Source organism: Homo sapiens, chromosome 14 (assembly GCF_000001405.40).
Source record: "Homo sapiens chromosome 14, GRCh38.p14 Primary Assembly".
Classification (NCBI taxonomy): Eukaryota; Metazoa; Chordata; class Mammalia; order Primates; family Hominidae; genus Homo; species Homo sapiens.
The window spans coordinates 18,690,894-18,712,644 of record NC_000014.9 but is presented as its reverse complement, the minus strand read 5'-3'; the positions used below and the strand labels follow the sequence as shown (position 1 = coordinate 18,712,644).

At 41.3% G+C, this 21,751-nt stretch overlaps 3 pseudogenes; 2 read left to right on the top strand and 1 right to left on the bottom strand.

Annotated features, from left to right (window-relative positions):
- On the top strand, window positions 2–3,155 carry NF1P10 (neurofibromin 1 pseudogene 10; annotated as a pseudogene).
- On the top strand, window positions 12,525–14,623 carry NEK2P3 (NEK2 pseudogene 3; annotated as a pseudogene).
- RPL22P20 (ribosomal protein L22 pseudogene 20) lies at window positions 20,180–20,634 on the bottom strand (annotated as a pseudogene).

The following is a 21,751-nucleotide window of genomic DNA, read 5'->3' as shown; positions in this document are numbered from 1 at the left end:
GAATTCTGGCCTGGCAACCTATAGCCCACCCGTGGGTCCGGTCAGTGAACATAAGGGTTCCATGATTTCAGTGATGTCCTCAGAGGGAAACGCAGATACACCTGTCAGCAAATATATGGATCAGCTGTTGTCGTTAATGGTGTGTAAGCTTGAGAAAGTGGGACTTCAAATACGGACCAATGATAAGGACCTGGTGGGTCTAGAATTGAGTCCTGCTCTTTATCTGATGCTATTTAACAAATTGAAGAAGACCCATCAGCAAGTTTTTTGACTCCTAAGGACAGGTAAAGTGTGCTCTTTTTTATTTTTCACCTTTCCCTATGAATAGAGTGACTTGTTTGAAATAATGAAGCCTTTTTCTTTCAGATTATTTAAATTAGGTACTCACAGTTTTTAAAAATTGTCAAAAAATTGTAGAAAGAAGAATCATCTCAATGAATGGTCAGCTTGCTTCTAGGAACTCTGATGTGTATGTGTGCCTGAGGGTATACGTGCCTTGTATATGGGTATGAGTGTCTGTGTATATCTGTGTGCCTGTTTGGCTGCGTGCCTGTGGGTGCATGTCTCTATTTGTGTGTTTAGATCAGTCAGTTTCATCTCTCTAGGGATCTGTCTTCTGGGCATTGATGGCAAATCATTAATATATTTGTTCTCTCTATAGGTTTTATTGACTGATACCAATACTCAATTTGTAGAGGAAACCCTAGCTATATTGAAGAACTTGCTAGATAATCATACTGAAGGCAGCTCTGAACATCTAGAGCAAGCTAGCATTGAAACAATGATGTTAAATCTGGTCAGGTAAGCCTTCTACTGAAATGTAGCAGAAACATACTTTAAGATTTAAGAGACAAGAAAAACCTCTCACACATTGATATTGATAGTAATTGATAAAATAATTTGCCATTCTTTACTGCACACAAACTAGGCTGTGACAACAAGGTAACCAGAAATTGTGTATGCTCTCCTATAAATAAATGTCTTACTGTTTTCAAACTTACGTTTAGTTCGTTTTATTTGATGGTTAAAGTATTTTGAATGCCTTATCTTGTGTCTGTATCTGATAACTTTTTTATTGTCTCTATGTCTGTATAGGTACGTTTGTGTGCTTGGGAATATGGTCCATGCAATTCAAATAAAAACGAAACTGTGTCAGTTGGTTGAAGTAACGATGGCAAGGAGAGATGACCTCTCATTTTGCCGAGAGATGAAATTTAGGTGAGTTCTCAAAAGAGCAATGTAGGGTCTTGTAAATCTTAATTTGTTGAATAAAGTACAGAAATAGAGTAGATATCTGGTTATTGGTAGGAAGAAAGACATAAAAAGAGAGCAGTTTACATGTTTGTTTTTCTCTGTGTCTCTCCTCAAATTTCCCTAAGCTTTGTGCCTGTGGCAAGCCTCCCTTTTTCTAAAACTCTGCTGTACTTGAGCTAAGAATTTGATTCTGTTTCCAATCTGATAGCATAACTAAAGGCCATGATGGAGGATCAGTATCCACGTTGCTTGTTCCTTCTGGCTTTTACATCTATGATAGCAGTATCTCTTTTATAAAGTCGTCATGTCACCTGGGTTATCTGCCAAATTATTTGCACCATAAGTAATCTTACATGACTGAAGGTGTGTGTGTGGGGGGGTATGACTTCAGAAAAATTGTGTGCTGTTTCTCTTTTCTCCACCATTCTATAGGAATAAGATGGTAGAATACCTGACAGACTGGGTTATGGGAACATCAAACCAAGCAGCAGATGATGATGTAAAATGTCTTACAAGGTAAAAAAAATGACTTTCAAATATTAGTGGGTTTTACTGTGAGAATTATAACTACTTCATTACAGCTTTATACTTGTATTTTATGTGTATTTAAACTTTTTAGATGTAAAACTTTTGTGTTCAAAATATGTAAAGACACTAATCTTTATTACTACTTTTTCTTGACCGATAGACTTTCAGGAAAAATAAATGTGCGAGAGCGGTATGTTTGGGAAGTTATTGTTGTCAGTTTATGAAGAATAGTCTACAGTTATTGGGAAATAAGATACATAAAGCCTCAGATTGCATTTATGTTATGATGAGATAGATAAAGGTATTATTTGAGAAACTCATTGTGTTGAGTCTAAGAAACAATTGATTTCCTGATTCAAACACCAGAGATAGACCAAAAAAGGAAGTAATTAAGTCTACTTTAATGATAAATACTTATTGACACATATCAGAAAGTGATTAAACACTATGGACTGTATAATAAGCATTTACATATGTTTCTTTGACAAAGCCTAGCTTTATAATACGGTCGTCTCTCAGTATCTGTCAGGGATTGGTTCCAGGAACCACCCCCCAAACTCCTGCCCACATCTCACTCCCATGAACACTAAAATCCACAGACTCAAGTCCCTGATACAAAATGTCATAGTATTTGCATATAAGCTATGCACATCCTCCCATATATTTTAAATATTTTTAGATTACTTATAATATCTAATACAATATAAATGTTATATAAATAGTTGTTATACCATATTGTTTAAGGAATAAAAACAAAGAAAAATCTGTACATGTTGAGTATTTGAAATCCAGGAGATTAGGTTCGACTTTCAATAAATGGTGTTGATAAAACTGAGTAATGATCTGGAAAAATATCTTCATACCATTTATGAGGATAAACTCCCATAAATCAAAACAGCATGGCAAAGCAAGGCCTTTTTCATCCATTCAAAATCCATAAGCTAGAAAGGAAAAGATTGATAAAATGAATTCATTCAAAAATCATAAACTTCTGTCTGGGACAAAAATGTCATGAGTAAAAACAATCCTATGGTTAATATCCTCGTCCGATAGTTCTCTTAGAATAGTCCTAAAAGTGCTTTTGTGGCTCAAAGAGCAATACCTTGAAATTTTTGGTGCATGTTGTCAGATTACCCTTTAGAATGCCTGTTGCTTTTAAAATATTTTTTATTTTAGTATTTTATTGTTTATCCAATTATAGACTATTTTACATACTCAGTAGACAACATAAAGCCTCAGAGGTACTCTGTTCTTTTTCTTTTAGGCATCAGGTACCTGAAAAAGAAGAGATCAAGGCTTTGAAAACGTTAAGTATTTTCTACCAAGCTGGGGCTTCCAAAGCTGGGAATCCTATTTTTTATTATGCTGCACGGGGTAAGAAATACTATGTTTGGTGTCTCCTCTCAACAGAATTTTTTAAACGATAGCAATTATAGAGATGGCAAGTTTGGTTTTTCATATTTGACTTAACAAGAATTGAAGACAAGTTTACCTGGGAGCATACAGTGGGTTAAATAGCCTGCCTTTCCTAAAATGGTGGTCAGTATCTAGTAACTGCTTTTCAGACTACCCATTTCATATTGGTTTCCCTGTCCTACATCATTTTTTAAAATACTGCCTACAATGGATTAATTACCAAGAGTTAAAAAACCACAAAGCATCTTTTGTTTTCAAGTATATTCTGATTAAATAGTACAACATGATAAGCGGGAACTTTTTTTAAAAGAAGAAATAAAACTGTAAGAGCCTGTTTCTGAGAACTTTTAAAAATATGCTGTGTAAGACAGCATCAGGGTGATTTAGAAAATAATTCAAAGGGGTGGTGGGAAATCATGAAGATGGTGCAAGGGGTGGCCTGGAAAATGATGCTTGTTCGTGCTGCCCTCAGTCGAGGCTGGTTCCTAGAAAGCCTTTCTGGAAATGTTGTGAGCTCTTCCTTAATAATAGATATGATGCTTGCATTGCCTTCCCTATCATTGTCTTTTTTTCTTGCCTCATTTTACCTTCCTTTTGAAAACTCTTCTGTGACTTTATTTGGTCCCATTTACCATAACATACATTCATGGTAATTGAGCCTTAGAGACAACATGATACGTATAGAGACCACTGATTTTGGAATCTCAAGGATCATGTTTAGACTTAGTTCTGCCAATCATTAGCTATAGACTTAATCTTTACTGGTTTCCTGGATTTAACAGTGTTTAACATCCATGACCGTTAAGTTAGTAGACGTACATTGTTAGTCAATTTGCTGGCCACAGGTGGCAGTGTGTAGGACACAAATTGAGGTTGAGAAATAGTGGAGAGGCGGTGAAGAATCAGTGGAAGATGGGAAACTTGTCTAATTAGGTCATTCATATAGCCTTAAGACCAAGAAGTCCAAAGGACTGGAGCATTAGGGAATCAAGAAAGTAAGAAAATTGTGTCAAAACTCCCCCTGCCCCCGCCCTTTAACAATTCTAAGTAACCCCTTCTCACCTTCCCATGAAAGGCCTCTCTCCAGCTCTCATCTCAGTTGCTATTTCTAAATTGCCTAAGATAATTTTAATTTTCTTTTTTCTTTGGATTTTAGCATTCTAATTTTTTTTTATTATTATACTTTAAGTTTTAGGGTACGCGTGCACAATGTGCAGGTTTGTTACATATGTATACATGTGCCATGTTGGTGTGCTGCATCCATTAACTCGTCATTTAACATTAGGTGCATCTCCTAATGCTATCCCTCCCCCCTGCCTCCACCCCACAACAGGCCCCAGTGTGTGATGTTCCCCTTCCTGTGTCCATGTGTTCTCATTGTTCAATTCCCACCTATGAGTGAGAACATGCAGTGTTTGGTTATTTTGTCCTTGTGATAGTTTGCTGAGAATGATGGTTTCCAGATTCATCCATGTCCTTACAAAGGACATGAACTCATCACTTTTTATGGCTGCATAGTATTCCATGGTGTATATGTGCCACATTTTCTTAATCCAGTCTATCATTGTTGGACATTTGGGTTGGTTCCAAGTCTTTGCTATTGTGAATAGTGCCACAATAAATATATGTGTGCATGTGTCTTTATAGCAACATGTTTTATAATCCTTTGGGTATATACCCAGTAATGGGATGGCTGGGTCAAAGGGTATTTCTAGTTCTAGATCCCTGAGGAATCGCCACACTGACTTCCACAATGGTTGAACTAGTTTACAGTCCCACTAACAGTGTAAAAGTGTTCCTATTTCTCCACATCCTCTCCAGCACCTGTTCTTTCATGACTTTTTAATGCTCACCATTCTAACTGGTGTGAGATGCTACCTCATTGTGGTTGTGATTTGCATTTCTCTGATGGCCAGTGATGATGAGCATTTTTTCATGTGTCTTCTGGCTGCATAAATGTCTTCTTTTGAGAAGTGTCTGTTCATATCCTTCGCCCACTTGTCAATGGGGTTGTTTGGTTTTTTTCTTGTAAATTTGTTTGAGTTCATTGTAGATTCTGGATATTAGCCCTTTGTCAAATGAGTAGATTGCAAAAATTTCTCCCATTCTGTAGGTTGCCTATTCACTCTGATGGTAGTTTCTTTTGCTGTGCAGAAGCTCTTTAGTTTAATTAGATCCCATTTGTCAATTTTGGCTTTTGTTGCCATTGCCATTGCTTTTGGTGTTTTAGACCTGAAGTCCTTGCCCATGCCTATGTCCTGAATGGTATTGCCTAGGTTTTCTTCTAGGGTTTTTGCAGTTATAAGTCTAACATTTAAGTCTTTAATCCATCTTGAATTAATTTTTGTATTAGGTGTAAGGAAGGGATCCAGTTTCGGCTTTGTACATATGGCTAGCCAGTTTTCCCAGCACCATTTATTAAATAGGGAATCCTTTCCCCATTTCTTGATTTTGTCAGGTTTGTCATAGATCAGATAGTTGTAGATATGTGGCATCATTTCTGAGGGCTCTGTTCTGTTCCATTGGTCTATATTTCTGTTTTGGTACCAGTACCATGCTGTTTTGGTTACTGTTGCCTTGTAGTATAGTTTGAAGTCAGGTAATGTGATGCCTCCAGCTTTGTTCTTTTGGCTCAGGATTGACTTCGCAATGCGGGCTCTTTTTTGGTTCCATATGAACTTTAAAGTAGTTTTTTCCAATTCTGTGAAGAAAGTCATTGGTAGCTTGATGAGGATGGCACTGAATCTATAAATTACCGTGGGCAGTATGGCCATTTTCACGATATTGATTCTTCCTACCCATGAGCATGGAATGTTCTTCCATTTGTATGTATCCTCTTTTATTTCATTGAGCAGTGGTTTGTAGTTCTCCTTGAAAAGGTCCTTCACGTCCCTTCTAAGTTGGATTCCTAGGTATTTTATTCTCTTTGAAGCAGCTGTGAATGGGAGTTCACTCATGATTTGGCTCTCTGTCTGTTATTGGTGTATAAAAATGCTTGTGATTTTTGCACATTGATTTTATATCCTGAGACTTTGCTGAAGTTGCCTATCAGCCTAAGGAGATTTTGGGCTGAGACGATGGGGTTTTCTAGATATACAATCATGTCATCTGTAAACAGGGACAATTTGACTTCCTCTTTTCCTAATTGAATACCCTTTATTTCCTTCTCCTGCCTGATTGCCCTGGCCAGAACTTCCAACACTATGTTGAATAGGAGTGGTGAGAGAGGACATCCCTGTCTTGTGCCAGTTTTCAAAGGAAATGCTTCCAGTTTTTGCCCATTCAGTATGATATCGGCTGTGGGTTTGTCATAGATAGCTCTTATTATTTTGAGATACGTCCCATCAATACCTAATTTATTGAGAGTTTTTAGCATGAAGGGTTGTTGAATTTTGTCAAAGGCCTTTTCTGCATCTATTGAGATAATCATGTGGTTTTTGTCTTTGGTTCTGTTTATATGCTGGATTACGTTTATTGATTTGCATATGTTGAACCAGCCTTGCATCCCAGGGATGAAGCCCACTTGATCATGGTGGATAAGCTTTTTGATGTGCTGCTGGATTTGGTTTGCCAGTATTTTATTGAGGATTTTTGCATCAATGTTCATCAGGGATATTGGTCTAAAATTCTCTTTTTTTGTTGTGTCTCTGCCAGGCTTTGGTATCAGGATGATGCTGGCCTCATAAAATGAGTTAGGGAGCATTCCCTCTTTTTCTGTTGATTGGAATAGTTTCAGAAGGAATGGTACCAGCTCCTCCTTGTACCTCTGGTAGAATTCGGCTGTGAATCCATCTGGTCCTGGGCTTTTTTTGGTTGGTAAGCTATTGATTATTGCCTCAATTTCAGAGCCTGTTATTTGTCTATTCAGAGATTCAAATTCTTCCTGGTTTAGTCTTGGGAGGGTGTATGTGTCGAGGAATTTATCCATTTCTTCTAGATTTTCTAGTTTATCTGCATAAAGTTGTTTATAGTATTCTCTGATGGTAGTTTGTATTTTTTAATTTTCTTTTGTACTTGAGATGAACCATATTTGCATTCTAACCCCAACCTTTAATACAACCAGGATGTTTTTACTTTCCCTTTTTTGTGTAAGTAGAAAGCAAACATTGGTGAGGAAGGTAGAAGATGTGTGTCCCCTCCTCTTTAATTTTTTTTTTTTTTTTGCGACAGAGTCTTGCTCTATCACCCAGGCTGGAGTGCAGTGGCTCGATCTTGGCTAACTACAAGCTCCGCCTCCCGGGTTCATGCCATTCTCCTGCCTCAGCCTCCCTAGCAGCTGGGACTACAGGCGCATGCCACCATACCCGGCTGATTTTTTGTATTTTTAATAGAGACAGGGTTCCACTGTGTTTGCCAGGATGGTCTCTATCTCCTGACCTCGTGATCCACCTGCCTCGGCCTCCCAAAGTGCTGGGATTACAGGCATGAGCCACCATGCCCAGTCTAAAATCTGACTAGTTTACAAATAGCAAAGATTTCTGGAAAACAAAGTTGGGTTGGTTTTTTTTTCAGGATCAGAAACTGTTATATTTGTATTCCTTCTCTGTGGTGATCTAGAAAAAGCTAAAGGAAAGCAGATTGGACCTGCTGTAGATACTTCAGTGAGATTCAATCAGTTCGGTTTCCGTGAAACCTGTTGAGTCTTGTGGCTTGAGAGTGCTAAGGATTCTCAGCTCTGCTGCTTATTAGCTGCATATTCTTTTTTTTTTTTTTTTTGAGATGGAGTTTCACTCTTGTTGCCCAGGCTGGAGTGCAGTGGCACGATCTTGGCTCACTGCAACCTCCACCTCCTGGGTTCAAGTGATTCTCCTGCCTCAGCCTCCTGAGTAGCTGGGATTACAGGCATGCACCACCACATCCAGCTAATTTTACATTATTAGTAGAGACGGGGTTTCACCACGTTGGCCAGGCTGGTCTCGAACTCCTGACCTCAGGTGATCTGCCTGCCTCAGCTTCTCAAAGTGCTGGGATTACAGGTGTGAGCCACCACACCTGGCTTTAGCTGCATAATCTTAGATAAGTTTATTTTTCCAAATCTGTTGCTTCATATGTTAAAGCTGGGGTGTGTGCTTATGAAAACTGTCCACCTCTCCTATGAAGTGTCTTGTGACCTATAAAGTTGTGTAAGGAGTAAATTGGAGATTTTCTTTTTTTCTTTCTTTCTCTTTCTGGGGGATATGGCACTGTCAGTTTCAGATTTTCAGTCCTTTTAGCTTCTTACTTAGACCTACTGGAGCTCCTCCTGGCCTTCATTTTCGCCTGGTGGGAAGCCTAGCTCCAGGACAGATGAGTACACAGTACATCAGGGCAGAGCATCCATTTACTCCATTATGAAGGTCTTGTCTGTCTATATGCCATCAGCTTTGTCAAAGAGCACTTGGGTTTGACTTGTCTTTTGATACTCCTGTGTTTCTGCGGCTTAGACTACCATGTATTAAGTGATGCTTTTTGAATTGCGGATTTTCCAATCTCCTCATAGATAGTCCGCAGACGTTTCAGACTTGAAATGTCCAAAACTTAATTCAGTATCTCTTCCAATCAACCTCCTCTTCACACCATATTTCTCTTTCTCAGTAGCATCATCATCTCTTCTAGTTCCCCATCTAGAAACCCTAATCATTTTAAATTCTTTCCTCTTATTTCTTTTTTTTTTTTTCCTGGTGTCCCCTGGGGTTTGTAAAGCTCTCCAGACATTGAGACTGTGCGGGCATGTCTCACTCCAAATTGGGCGAAATCAGTCATTGATTTTAATAGATTTTCACCAGGTACCTTTTCTGCGTTAAGCAGTGGGTTAGAGGCTAGACTCAGAGATGAGTAAAACCAGACCCCACCCCCTGACCTAGCCCTTCTTGCTCAAGAAGCCAACACTTAGTGAGAGCATCGGAAAGCCTGGTGGGCTTCTGAGCCCTGGGACTGGAGAAGTGGGGGTCCCAAAACCCATTACAAGATCAAAGAGAATAACAACAGGAAACTGCCAGAAATACCCAGTGATGGGCAAAGGGGCCTGTCCACATACCACTTGATGCACAAGAACCCGTGTCCTTACTTCAGAGTACATGTGTGTTCACAAGCACGTGGAGCCCAAGGGCCTGTGCAGCTGTCCATGTGGGGATGGGTATCAGGCTTCTGATTGGGATGCACAAGTGGTGTGGGAGTCTCTTTTTTAATTATTATTATTATACTTTAAGTTTTAGGGTACATGTGCACAACGTGCAGATTTGTTACATATGTATACGTGTGCCATGTTGGTGTGCTGCACCCATTAACTCGTCATTTAGCATTAGGTATATCTCCTAATGCTATCCCTCCCCCTTCCCCCCTCCTCTTATTTCTTTTATCTTCCTCATTGTTAGTCACCAAATCTTGAGTTTACCTGTGAGAGCCTGGGCGATCAATTTAAGTTGTTCCAGTTAGGCTTTTATTGCAAAGCAGTCATTTGTATTTTCTTAAGGATCTTAGGAAAAGCATGAATTAGAGCAGAGCCTACCCAGATATAGAGAGAACTAGATGGCTGTGGGTTCTGGAACTGGCTACACTCTTTGACTGTCTCTTGGTTTTGTGTTCAGCTCTTCCTCATGATTTTCATCTTTCTGTATCCTTTCAGCTTTTGCCCCAGATAGTAATCCCTTCATTATCTCAGTACTTGCATGTCTAAAATTCCAGAAAGAAAATATGATTCAGCTAAAAAATATCTCTGCTTGGCAGGACCTTTAATGTTAGGTGCTGGCCAGCCAGTTGATTTCTGGTGTCCCTATGTCCAGTATGTGCCTCAGCCTGCTGAGTAGCTGGGATTACAGCCACCACCACACCCAGCTAATTTTTTGTAATTTTTAGCAGAGACAGGTTTTCACCATGTTGCTTAGACTGGTCTTGAACTCCTGACCTCAGGTGATCCGCTCACCTCAGCCTCCCAAAGTGCTTGGATTATAGGCGTGAGCCACAGGGCCCAGCCCACCTGAGGCTTCTTTTTCCTTCCCAAGCCACATCACCATCCTGGTGGAACTCTCCTGTGAGGACAGCCAAGGCCTGAACTACCTGCGGTGGGGAGCACCTCAGGGTTTGCCCAGGCAACCAGCCAGCCCTGGTCCAAGGCATCCTGGAGCGAGTTGTGGATGGCCCCGTGCCCCACCAGACAGTGCGCCTGGAGGACCTGGATGAGAGCGGTGAGCCCCAGGCTGGGGAGCCAGTGCTGCCTGGCATCCTCCGGCCATCCTACCTGGCTGAGGGGCTGGGCCTGGGCCTGCCGGTGACAGCCATCCCTGTCCTTCCTGCTGAGGGGGCAGGCTGTCAAAGCTTATGTGAAAGCAGCTGAAGAAACAGTCACAGCCCATAAGGCAATGCTCCCTGGCCTTCGTTTCCCCAGTGATAACGACACTGCCAGAATATCCCCCTCAGTGCAGTGGCCAAAGTCAGAAAGTGGGATTAGCCAGGCATGGTGGCTCCCAGCACTTTGGGAGGCCAAAGCGGGTGGATCACTTGAGGTCAGGAGTTCGAGACCAGCCTGGAACATGGCAAAACCCCATCTCTACTAAAAATAAAAAATAGTAGGGCGTGGGGGCACATGTCTATAATCTCAGCCACTCAAGAAGCTGAGGCATGGGATTACGGCTGCCAGAAAAAATGTTGTTGCCCAAGCTAGAGTGCAGTGGCGCAATCTCGGGTCACTGCAACCTCCACCTGCCAGGTTCAATAGATTCTCCTGCCTCAGCCTCCCAAGTAAGTGAGATTACAGGCATGTGCCACCACGCCTGGCTAATTTTTTGTATTTTTAGTAGAAATGGGGTTTCACCACGTTAGCCAGGTGAATCCCAAAGTCCTGGGATTACAGGCAAGGGCCACCACACCCAGCCGATATTTTGAATTTTTAAGGTTCATCAGCTTGGTCATTTGTGTGATCCAAAGTTGTAGGCATTTTAAAAACATTAAAAATGTTTTCATTTTTTATTTCTTCTATAATTTTAGACACATATTCATTTTTATTTCTTCTGCAGTTTTAGCTACATATCCCTAAGGTCATGCAGCTAGTAAAAGCTAAGATTCAAGCCCAGGTCTTCTCATTGTGTTGCTTCTCCAGTACTGCACTACCTCTCCAAGATGCTTTTGATGGTATCTACAGGATTGCTAAGACCATATATGGGAAAGGGCTTTGTAAACTGTGAGGCTTTTTTATGTAAAGCAGAACATGATGTGAGATTAAGAAAAGTAAATACTAAAGGAGAAAAGGATGATAAACCCATTTATATAGTCTCTCAATTTAACTTTTTTTAATCTTTTTTTTTTTTTTTGAGACAGAGTCTCGTTCTGTCACCAGGCTGGAGTGCAGTGGCACGATCTCGGCTCACTGCAACCTCTGCCTCCCGGGTTCAAGTGATTCTCCTGCCTCAGCCTCCCGAGTAGCTGGGACTACAGGCACGTGCCACCACTTCCAGCTAATTCTTTGTATTTTTAGTAGAGACAGGGTTTCACCGTGTTAGCCAGGATGGTCTTGATCTCCTGACCTCGTGATCCACCCGCCTCAGCTTCCCAAAATGCTGTGATTATAGGCGTGAGCCACCCACGCCCGGCCAAGTTTAAATGTTTATTTTAATGTTTGTGCAATAACGTCCAGTTTTACCAAGCAGAATGATCTGCACAGGAGCTTTTATGCAGAACTCACTGTTCTTCAGTTAGAGCTTGTTACTCTTAATAGTGAAATCAAATCCATCTTCAGTTGCTACATGGCTTTGTTAAACAGTTAAACTTGAGTTGGAGATGGTCTATCATAGGGAGGAATTTTCGCTCCACAGATGTGTTCATACAATGTATTTTCCCCTTTCCCCTGTAGAAACTTTGTGGAAAGATTATTTCAGTGTTAACCCTGATTGATATTTTAGTAATTAAACAAGTGTCTGTTACTCCTTTATCAAGCATTTAATGAGTGTCTTCGGTGTGCTAGGCACTGCACTAGACTCTAGGGAGTCAAGGATGAATCACACTTAGTTTCTACCCCCTGGGAATTCATTCTGGTAGGAGAAATTGTTAACAAAAAATTATCATCCTATGGGATATTTTTTTAAAGTATGAAATGAGATAATGTATGTGAGAAAACTTTGGAAGTTTTACACATTTAGGATTTTTTTCTCCAGTGCATAGCCTGATGCCTGACATATTTTAAATGCTCATTATACCCTTGAATGAATTGGTGAAGAGCCAAGAGTTATGAGAGCATAATACTAGAGTGTAGATGGATTAGTTCTGCCTGGATGGACAGGTGGGATGCGGAGGCTTCCAAGAATACAACTTTTGAACTGGACTTGGAAATATAAGTTGTTTAAGAATCGAGAGAGAAACGGGGCCGAAGGCAGGGGTGGCAGGTCAGTGTTGCTCGGGGGCTTCTCCATCCAGGTCCCTGGAGCTCCCGGTCCCTGGAGCTCCGCACTTGGGGGCACAACCTGCATGAGGCAGCGCCACTCTGGTGACTGGCCGGCCATGCCATCCCGGGCTGAGAACTATGAAGTGTTGTACACCATTGGCACAGGCTCCTATGGCCGCTGCCAGAAGATCCAGCGGAAGAGTGACGGCAAGATACTAGTTTGGAAAGAACTTGATTATGGCTTCATGACAGAAGCTGAGAAACAGATGCTTATTTCTGAAGTGAATTTGCTTTGTAAACTGAAAAATCCAAACATCGTTCATTACTATGATCGTATTATTGACCGGACCAACACAACACTGTACGTTGTAATGGAATATTGTGAAGAAGGAGACCTGGCTAGTGTAATTACAAAGGGAACCAAGGAAAGGCAATACTTAGATGAAGAGTTTGTTCTTCGAGTGACGACTCAGTTGACTCTGGCCCTGAAGTAATGCCACAGACGAAGTGGTGGTGATCATACTGTAGTGCGTCGGGATCTGAAACCAGCCAGTGTTTTCCTGGATGGCAAGCAAAACGTCAAGCTTGGAGATTTGGGGCTAGCCAGAATATTAAACCACGACACGAGTTTTGCAAAAACATTTGTTGGCATACCTTATTACATGTCTCCTGAACAAACGAATCACATGTCCTACAATGAGAAACCAGATATCTGGTCATTGGGCTGCTTGCCGTATGAGTCACGTGCATTAATGCCTCCATTTACAGCTTTTAGCCAGAAAGAACTCGCTGGGAAAATCAGAGAAGGCAAATTCAGGCGAATTCTATACCGTTACTCTGATGAATTGAATGAAATTATTATGAGGATGTTAGAGGATTACCATCAACCTTCTGTTGAAGAAATTCTCGAGAACCCTTTAATAGCAGATTTGGTTGCAGAAGAGCAAAGAAGAAATCTTGAGAGAAGAGGGCGACAATTAGGAGAGCCAGAAAAATTGCTGGATTCCAGCCCTGTATTGAGTGAGCTGAAACTAAAGGAAATTCAGTTAGAGGAGCAAGAGCGAGCTCTCAAAGCAGGAGAAGAAAGATTGGAGCAGAAAGAACAGGAGCTTTGTGTTTGTGAGAGACTAGCAGAGGACAGACTGGCTATACCAGAAAATCTGTTGAAGAATTACAGCTTGCTAAAGGAACAGAAGTTCCTGTCTCTGGCAAGTAGTCCAGAACTTCTTAATCTTCCATCCTCAGTAATTAAGAAGAAAGTTCATTTCAGTGGGGAAAGTAAAGAGAATGTCATGAGGAGTGAGAATCCTGAGAGTCAGCTCACATCTAAGTCCAAGTGCAAGGACCTGAAGGTCCTTGCTTCATGCTTCATGCTGCCCAGCTGCGGGCTCAAGCCCTGTCAGATATTGAGAAAAATTATCAACTAAAAAGCAGAGAGATCCTGGGCATGCGCTAGCCGGGTAGAGAGACACAGAGCTGTGTACAGGATGTAATATCACCAACTTTTAGAGACTGATGTTCAAATGCTGTAGCGTTATATACTTGGTTCCATGAGCCGTGCCTTTTTGCATAGTCCACATGATATTTCAGAATTGGTGTTGCTGTTCTTTAGCAACTGTTGTACAAAATGTTCACATTTAATTTTTCTTTCTTCTTTTAAGAACACATTATAAAAAGAATACTTTCTTGTTTGGTTGGGCTTTTAATCCTGTGTGTGATTACTAGTAAGAACATGAGATGTGACATTCTAAATCTTGGGAGAAAAAAATAACACGAAAAAAAATTTAATGAGGAGTAGCACTCACTGCATAGTTTTAAATGACTGAGTGGTGTGCTTACAATTGTCATGTCTAGATTTGAATTTTAAGTCTGAGATTTTAAATGTTTTTGAGCTTAGAAAACCTAGTTGGATGCCATTTGGTCATTAATACCATGACATCTTGCTTATGAATATTCCATTGCTCTGTAGTTCAAATCTGTTAGCTTTGTGAAAGTTCATCACCGTGATGTCTGTATTCTTTTTTCCTTTTTATTCTGTTTAACAGAATAAAAGAATTCTTTAGTTTCCCTGTAAAAAAAAAAAAAAAAAAAAAAGAACCGAGAGAAGCGGTTCTGCCGGGGCAGCTGTCAGCCATTAAAGTGCCTGGATTTACATGAACCACATATCTACAGGCTAATACAGTTTACAGGATGCTTTTGTTTACACTATCTCTTTTGAGTCTTACGACAGTTCCATGAGGTGAATTCATACAACCAAGAGAAGCCCTGACCAGAACCTGGGTTCTAGGGTGTAAGAGACAGCATCCAGCCAGTTTTTTCTTTATAGTTTCACGAATGTTATGATTGCTAATATTATGGTATTTCTATTATTATATTTGTGAAAGCATGGTTTTCTGAGTTACAAGTATGTGAAAGACACATGTATACATGTAATGAAATGTATAGTTTTCCTTTTATTTCTGTAAAGCAAGTTAGCTTGTATTGATACATGATGAGTTTTTTTCAGAGGTTTCAGAAACAGGTTAGAAAATGCTTCCATAGTATTTCATAGATTCTTTATAATTTGAGCAGTTTTTCAGGGTTTTCAGTCCATTTAAACCATTTATCTAATGAACAGTAAATAGAAACTCTGAGCTCTACATTCTCTTGTAAGCTTTCTTTTTCTGTTATAGTTGAGCAAATTTGTTGACATTCTTATATTTTTGCATTTTGATTTTTTGCAAAATGTTTGGTTAAAATACTTTGGGGGAAAAATGCAAGTACTTTGTTCTCATTTATAGTTGACTTCCTACTTTGTTTATGTTGTCTTCTGTATGTATTAAGACAGTGAAGTACTGGCAAAAGAATAGGTAAATAGATCAATGGAACAAAATAAGCACCCCAGAAATAGACCCATACAAATAGAGGCCACTCATCTTTGGCAGAGGAGCAAACGCAATTTAATGGAGAAAAGATTGTCTTGACAATAAATAGTGCTGGAAACAACTAGACATCCACATGTGGAATAATGAATATAAACACTGACCTTACACCTTTCCCAACAATTAACACAAAACAGACCATAGACCTAAATGTAACACAAAACTAGCAAACTTCTGTAAGTTTAATAACATAGGAGAAAATCTAGGTGACCTTGGGTTTGGCAATGAGTTTCTAGATGCAACACAAAAACACCATCTACGAAAGAAAAAATGGACAAGATGGACCTCATTAAAGTGAAACATGTCTGCTGTGCCAGAGACACTGTTAAGAATGAAAAGACAGGCTGGGCGCGGTGTGGTGGCCCATGCCTGTGACTCCAGTTACTTGGGAGGCTGAGGCAGGAGGATCCCTTGAAGCTCAGGAGTTGAAAGATGCAGTGAGCTGTGATGGTGCCACTGCATTCCAGCCTGGATGACAGAGAGACGCCATCTCTACAAAGAAAAAAAAGAAATAATGCAGAGAAGTCTCATGTACGGGCCCACTAAGTTTTATAGTGTTTTTGCTTTATTGCACTTTGCAGATATTGTTTTTTACCTATTGAATGTTTGCGGCAACCCTGTGTCAAGCAAGTCTTGCGGTGCCGTGTTTCTAACAGCATATGCTCACTTTCTGTCTCTGCATTACGTTTCGCTGATTCTCACAATATTTTAGATGTTTTCATTATCATGTTATAGTGATCAGTGATCTTTAATGTTGCTATTGTAATTGTTTACAAGCTCATTGATATAAGAGGGTGAACTTAATGTTGTCTATGTGTCTTTTTGTTTTGTTTCGTTTTGTTTTGTTTTGAGACAGAGTCTTTCTCTGTCACCCAGGCTGGAGTGCGGTGGCATGATCTCAGCTCACTGCAACCTTCACCTTCCGGGCTCAAGCGATCCTCCCACCTCAGCCTCCCGAATAACTACAGCAGGCATGTGCCACCACACTCAGCTAATTTGTAAATTTTTTGTAGAGACGAGGTCTCATTATATTGCCCAAGCTAGTCTCCAACTCCTGGACTCAAGCAATCCTCCCACCTCGGCCTCCCAAAGTGCTGGATTATAGGCATGAGCCACTGCACCCTGCCAGTTATGTGTGTTCTGACTGCGTTGTCCACCATCCATTCCCAGCTCGCTCCTTCTTCTCAGGCCTCTCTATTACCTGATACACAACAGTATTGAAATTAGGCTAATTAATAACCATGCAGTGCCCTATACATGTTCAGGTGGAAAGAAGAACTGTGTGATTCTCACTTTCAATCAAAAGTCAGGAACAACTACCTTTAGTGCAGAAAGCATAACGAAAACCGACCTAGGCTGAAAGCTAGGCCTCTTGTGCCCATTAGCCTAGTTGTGAAAGCAAAGGAAAAGTTCTTGAAGGAAATTAAAAGTGCTTCTCCAGTGAATACACAAATGATAAGAATGCAAAACAGCCTTGTTGCTGATGTGGAAAAAGTTTTAGTGCTGGTTAGAACATCAAATCACCCACAACATCCCCTTAAGGCAAAGCCTAATCCAGGGCAAGCCCCTAGCTCACTTTAGTTCTGTGAAAGCTGAGGGAGGTGAGGAAGCTGCTGAAGAAAAGTTTGAAGCTAACAGAGGTTGTTAGTTCATGGGGTTTAAGGAAAGAAGTCATCTCTATAATATGAAAATGCAAGGTTGGCCGGGTGCGGTGGCTTTTATGATTCCTTGAATCAAGGCTATAAAGATATTTTTCTATGTTTTCTTCAAATAGTTTTAAGGTTTTCTCAAGGTCTAATGTCTAATCCATCTAGAATTTTTTTGTGGTCACAAGGAAGGAATCGAACTTAAATTTTTCCCTAAGTGGATATCTAAATGTCCTAATTCTCTGTACTGTGTGGTCCAACCTTTTGCCACTACTTCGAACATAAAGTAGTTTGCTAGCTACTCATTTCCAAGGGGAGTTCTGGGAAAATCTCTATACATCACGTCTGTCACAAGGTCAAGGAAACAAAAATGCAAAATAGACTTATAATTTCAATAAATACTGAAACCATATTTGATGAAATTAAACAACCCTCCCTAACTTAAAAACAGTAATAACAACAAACTTAGGATAAAAATAGAGGAAATAATGGGACATTTCCTTAACAAGATAACTACTTTTTAATTTTTACACTTATAATTTTTCAAATTAAAAAAAAGAGAGATAAGGGGTCTTGCTGTGTTGCCCAGGCTGGTCTCGAGCACCTGGGCTCAAGTGATCCTCCTGCCTCAGCTTCCCACAGTGCTGGGATTACAGGAATGAGCCACCATGCATGGCCAACTACTATTATCTTAAATAGTTCATATGTACATACAAGTAAATGGAGAAATGTATTCTTTATTAAATCAGGAATGAGATAAAGATGCCATATTGGCCAGGCATGGTGGCTCATGCCTGTAATCCCAGCACTTTGGGAGGCCAAGGTGGGAGGATGATTTGAGCCCAGAAGTTCAAAACCAGCCTTGGCAACACAGCATGACCCCATCTCTACTAAAAATTAAAAAAATAATAATAAGCATTAGCTGGGCGTTGTGGCATGCGCCTATTATTGGGGAAGCTGAAGCAGGAAGATCGCTTAAGCCTAGGAGTTTGAGGCAGCAGTGAACTATGATTATATCACTGCACCCCAGCCTGGGTGACAGAGTGAGACACTGTTCTAAAAAAATAATTTGCAAATTAAAAATTAAAAATTAAAAAAATTTAAAAAGATGCCACTATCAACAAGTGTTTGGCTGGGCACGGTGGCTCACGTCTGTAATCCCAGCACTTTGAGAGGCAGAGGTGGGTGGATCACTTGAGGTCAGGAGTTCAAGACCAGCCTGGGCAACATGGGGAAACCCTATCTCCACTAAAAATACAGAAATTAGCCGGGCGTGGTAGCACACGCCTGTAATCCCAGCTGCTAGGGAGGCTGAGGCAGGAGAACCGCTTGAATCCAGAGGGTGGAGGTTTCAGTGAGCTGAGATCCTGCCACTGCACTCCAGCCTGGGCAGCTGAGCGAGACTGTCTCAAAAAAAAAATTAAGATAAGTGTTTGGAAATCAATTTATTTCCTTATACCAAGAGAAAGCAGCCCAAATATGTAAAGGGAAACTCCTGGGCAAAATGATAGTATGGAGCCAGTGAACCCAGTTAACAAACCTCCTCCTTCCAGTATTCTCTAAAGTGACCAGTGAAATTAAAGATAGGGGAGACTGGCATCAGTGGCAGGAACTAGAGAAATATGCCAATCATATGCCAGGCCTCAAAGCAAGGGGGTACCCAGCTGGATCTAATAATACCTCTTATTATTTATTATTCTATTATTTGCTAAACTTCTCTGAACCCGGTATTGTGCTGAGGCTGTATATGCATTATCCTATTTAATTCTTGCATCAGTAAACCTATCAAGTAGATATCCTTATCCCCATTTTAAAAAATAAGATATATTAAATATATTTGATTCAAGGGTAGAGAGTGGCAGATCCCAGTTTGGAAGCTAGGTAGATCTGGTTCCAAAATTCATGGTCCTCAGCATGATCAGGCCTCTTGACTCTCAAGTCCTGGGAAAGGCACTAAATAGAGAATCTGGAGAAGTGTGGAGGTGAGAAAGGGACAAATGGGATATGGAGGGAGCGCAGAGTGGCAAGCCCTGTGCATTTAGGGGAGAACCCTCATAACCACCTGCATGAATGAAGTGCCGTAATGTGCAGACTTTTCTCTTTCACTTAATGCTCCCATATCCTCATAATCCACACAGATTGTGATGGAACCTGCCACGGTTATGGAAGCATGTAGAGTGTGAAGCTTGCAGAAGTTAGGAGGTGGCCCAGGGCACACAGGTACTATTTAGGAATTTGGGGATTTGTTTCCCAGGCGCCTGTGTTGCCTCCACAGGCAATGCTACAGGATGTGCGCAGGTTCTCCCAGCCTGGCTGGGCCGGGGCACAAGTGGTGGGGAATCTGGCAGGAGCTTGCTCTCCCAACTCATACCCAAAGGCAAAGGGCAAAGGAAACAGGAAATAGGGGCTGGTCATCTCTCTGGGGAGAGAAGTGGGGTGAGAGGACAGCCCAATTAAAAGAGCCTCAGTGGTTGGGAGTGCCTGAGCTGTACAAAGCCTCCTTGTCTTCTCCCTTTGGCACAAGAGAGGATTTCCAGAGATACCAGGAAGACCCATGCTGGGAGAGCTCTCAGTGAGCACTGGGCAAGGCTAGCCCATTCTCTGCACAGATGGACAGGGGCTACTAACCCAAGGCACAGAAGTTATAGCCGGAGAAAGTGAGCCAGTGAAGTGTGAATGTGGATGTCTCTGTTGAGGGAAGGAAAGGAGGGGGCGACTCGACAGGTTGAGATTTAAGTTTTTTGAGGTTGGATGCAGTGGCTCACTCCTGTAATCCTAGCACTTTAGGAGGCTGAAGTGGGAGGATGGCTTGCATTCAGGAGTTCAAGACCAGCCTGGAAAATATAGCAATACCCTGGCTCTACAAAAAAATCTAAAAATTAGCCGGGTGTGGTGGCACACCTGTAGTCCCAGCTACTCAGGAGGCTGAGGTAGAAGGATGACGAGCTCAGGAAGTCGAGGCTACAGCAAACTGTGATTACACCACTGCATGCCAGCCTGGGTGACAGAGTGAGACCCATCTCAAAAAAGGAAAAAGTAGTTTTTTGTTACTTTTTTTTTTTTTTTGGTTCGCAAGTTTTGTTCAAGAACTCATACAAAATATTCCAGATAAATGAAATTTAATCCTCATCTCCCTCCTCTTTCTCGTCCTGGTTAATTTGGAAGTAACATAACTCTGTTTGCTGTTAGCAGCTACGCAAACCAATCACGTAGATTATTCTTCTTCAAAAATTTTTGGTGTGATATTTCAAATACCTTTTGGAAAAAGGCACCTCAGATGTCATGGTGATCTTGCTCTTGCTCCTTTTGATGGTCACCACCCCTCCACCAAGCTTCCCAGCTTTTCAGTTCACTTTGATCCTCTCTTGCAAAAACTGCTCAAAATTGGCAGCATCCGTGATTCCATCTTCCACAGGGTGGGTGCAATCAAGAGTGAACTTCAGAACCTGCTTCCTTTTTTGCCCCCATTCACCACAAGCTTTTTCCCGGGTGCCATGGCAGCAGTGGAGGCAGAAAGAGAGCTGTTTCTTTTTAAATTGTTATTAATTTTATAAAGTTTCCGTAGCTTTGGGGGTACAAGTTATATTTAGTTACATGAATGAATTCTGTAACGGTGAATTCTGAGATTTTAGTGCACGCACCACCCAAGTAGCATTCATCATAACCGATATGTAGTTTTTTATCCCACACTCTCCGCCCATCCTCCCCCTTCTGAGTTTCCAGAGTCCATTATATCACTCTGTATGTCTCTGTGTCCTCATAGCTTAGCTCTCACTTGTAAGTAAGAACATAGGGTATTTGGTTTTCCATTCCTGAGTTACTTCACTTAGAATAATGGTCTCCAACTCCATCCCAGTTGCTTCAGAAGACATTATTTTGTTCCTTTGTATGGCTGAGTATTAGTCCATGGTGTACATATACCACATTTTATCGACTCATTGGTCAATGGGCACTTAAGGTGGTTCTGTACCTTGGGAATTATGAACTGTGCAATAGGCATACCCCTTTAATATGCCCCCTTTCTTTTCTTTTCTTTTTTTTTTTTAGACAGAGTCTTGCTCTATCGCCCAGGCTGGAGTGCAGTGGTGCAGTCTCGGCTCACTGCAAGCTCTGCCTCCCGAGTTCACACCATTCTCCTGCCTCAGCCTCCCGAGTAGCTGGGACTACAGGCGCCCACCACCACGCCCAGCTAATTTTTTGTATTTTTATTAGAGACAGGTTTTCACTGTGTTAGCCAGGATGGTCTCGATCTCCTGACCTCATGATCCGCCCGCCTCGGCCTCCCAAAGTGCTGGGATTACAGGCGTGAGACACCGCGCCCGGCTCTGCCCCCTTTCTTACATGTGGCCCTGAATCCTCCCAGGTAGGAGAAGCTGTAGGAAGACGGGGAGGTCTGCTTGGTACAGGGAGAAGCCAAGTGTAGCGTGAGGGTAGAGGTTTAATACTAAGAGTTATGCCTGGGCATGGTGGCTCACACCTGTAATCGCAGCACTTCAGGAGGCCGAGGTGGGCAGATCACCTGAAATCAGGAGTTTGAGACCAGCCTGGCCAACATGGTGAAACCGCATCTCTACTAAAAATAATAATAATAATACAAAAAAATACAAAAATTAGCCAGGTGTGGTGGCACACAC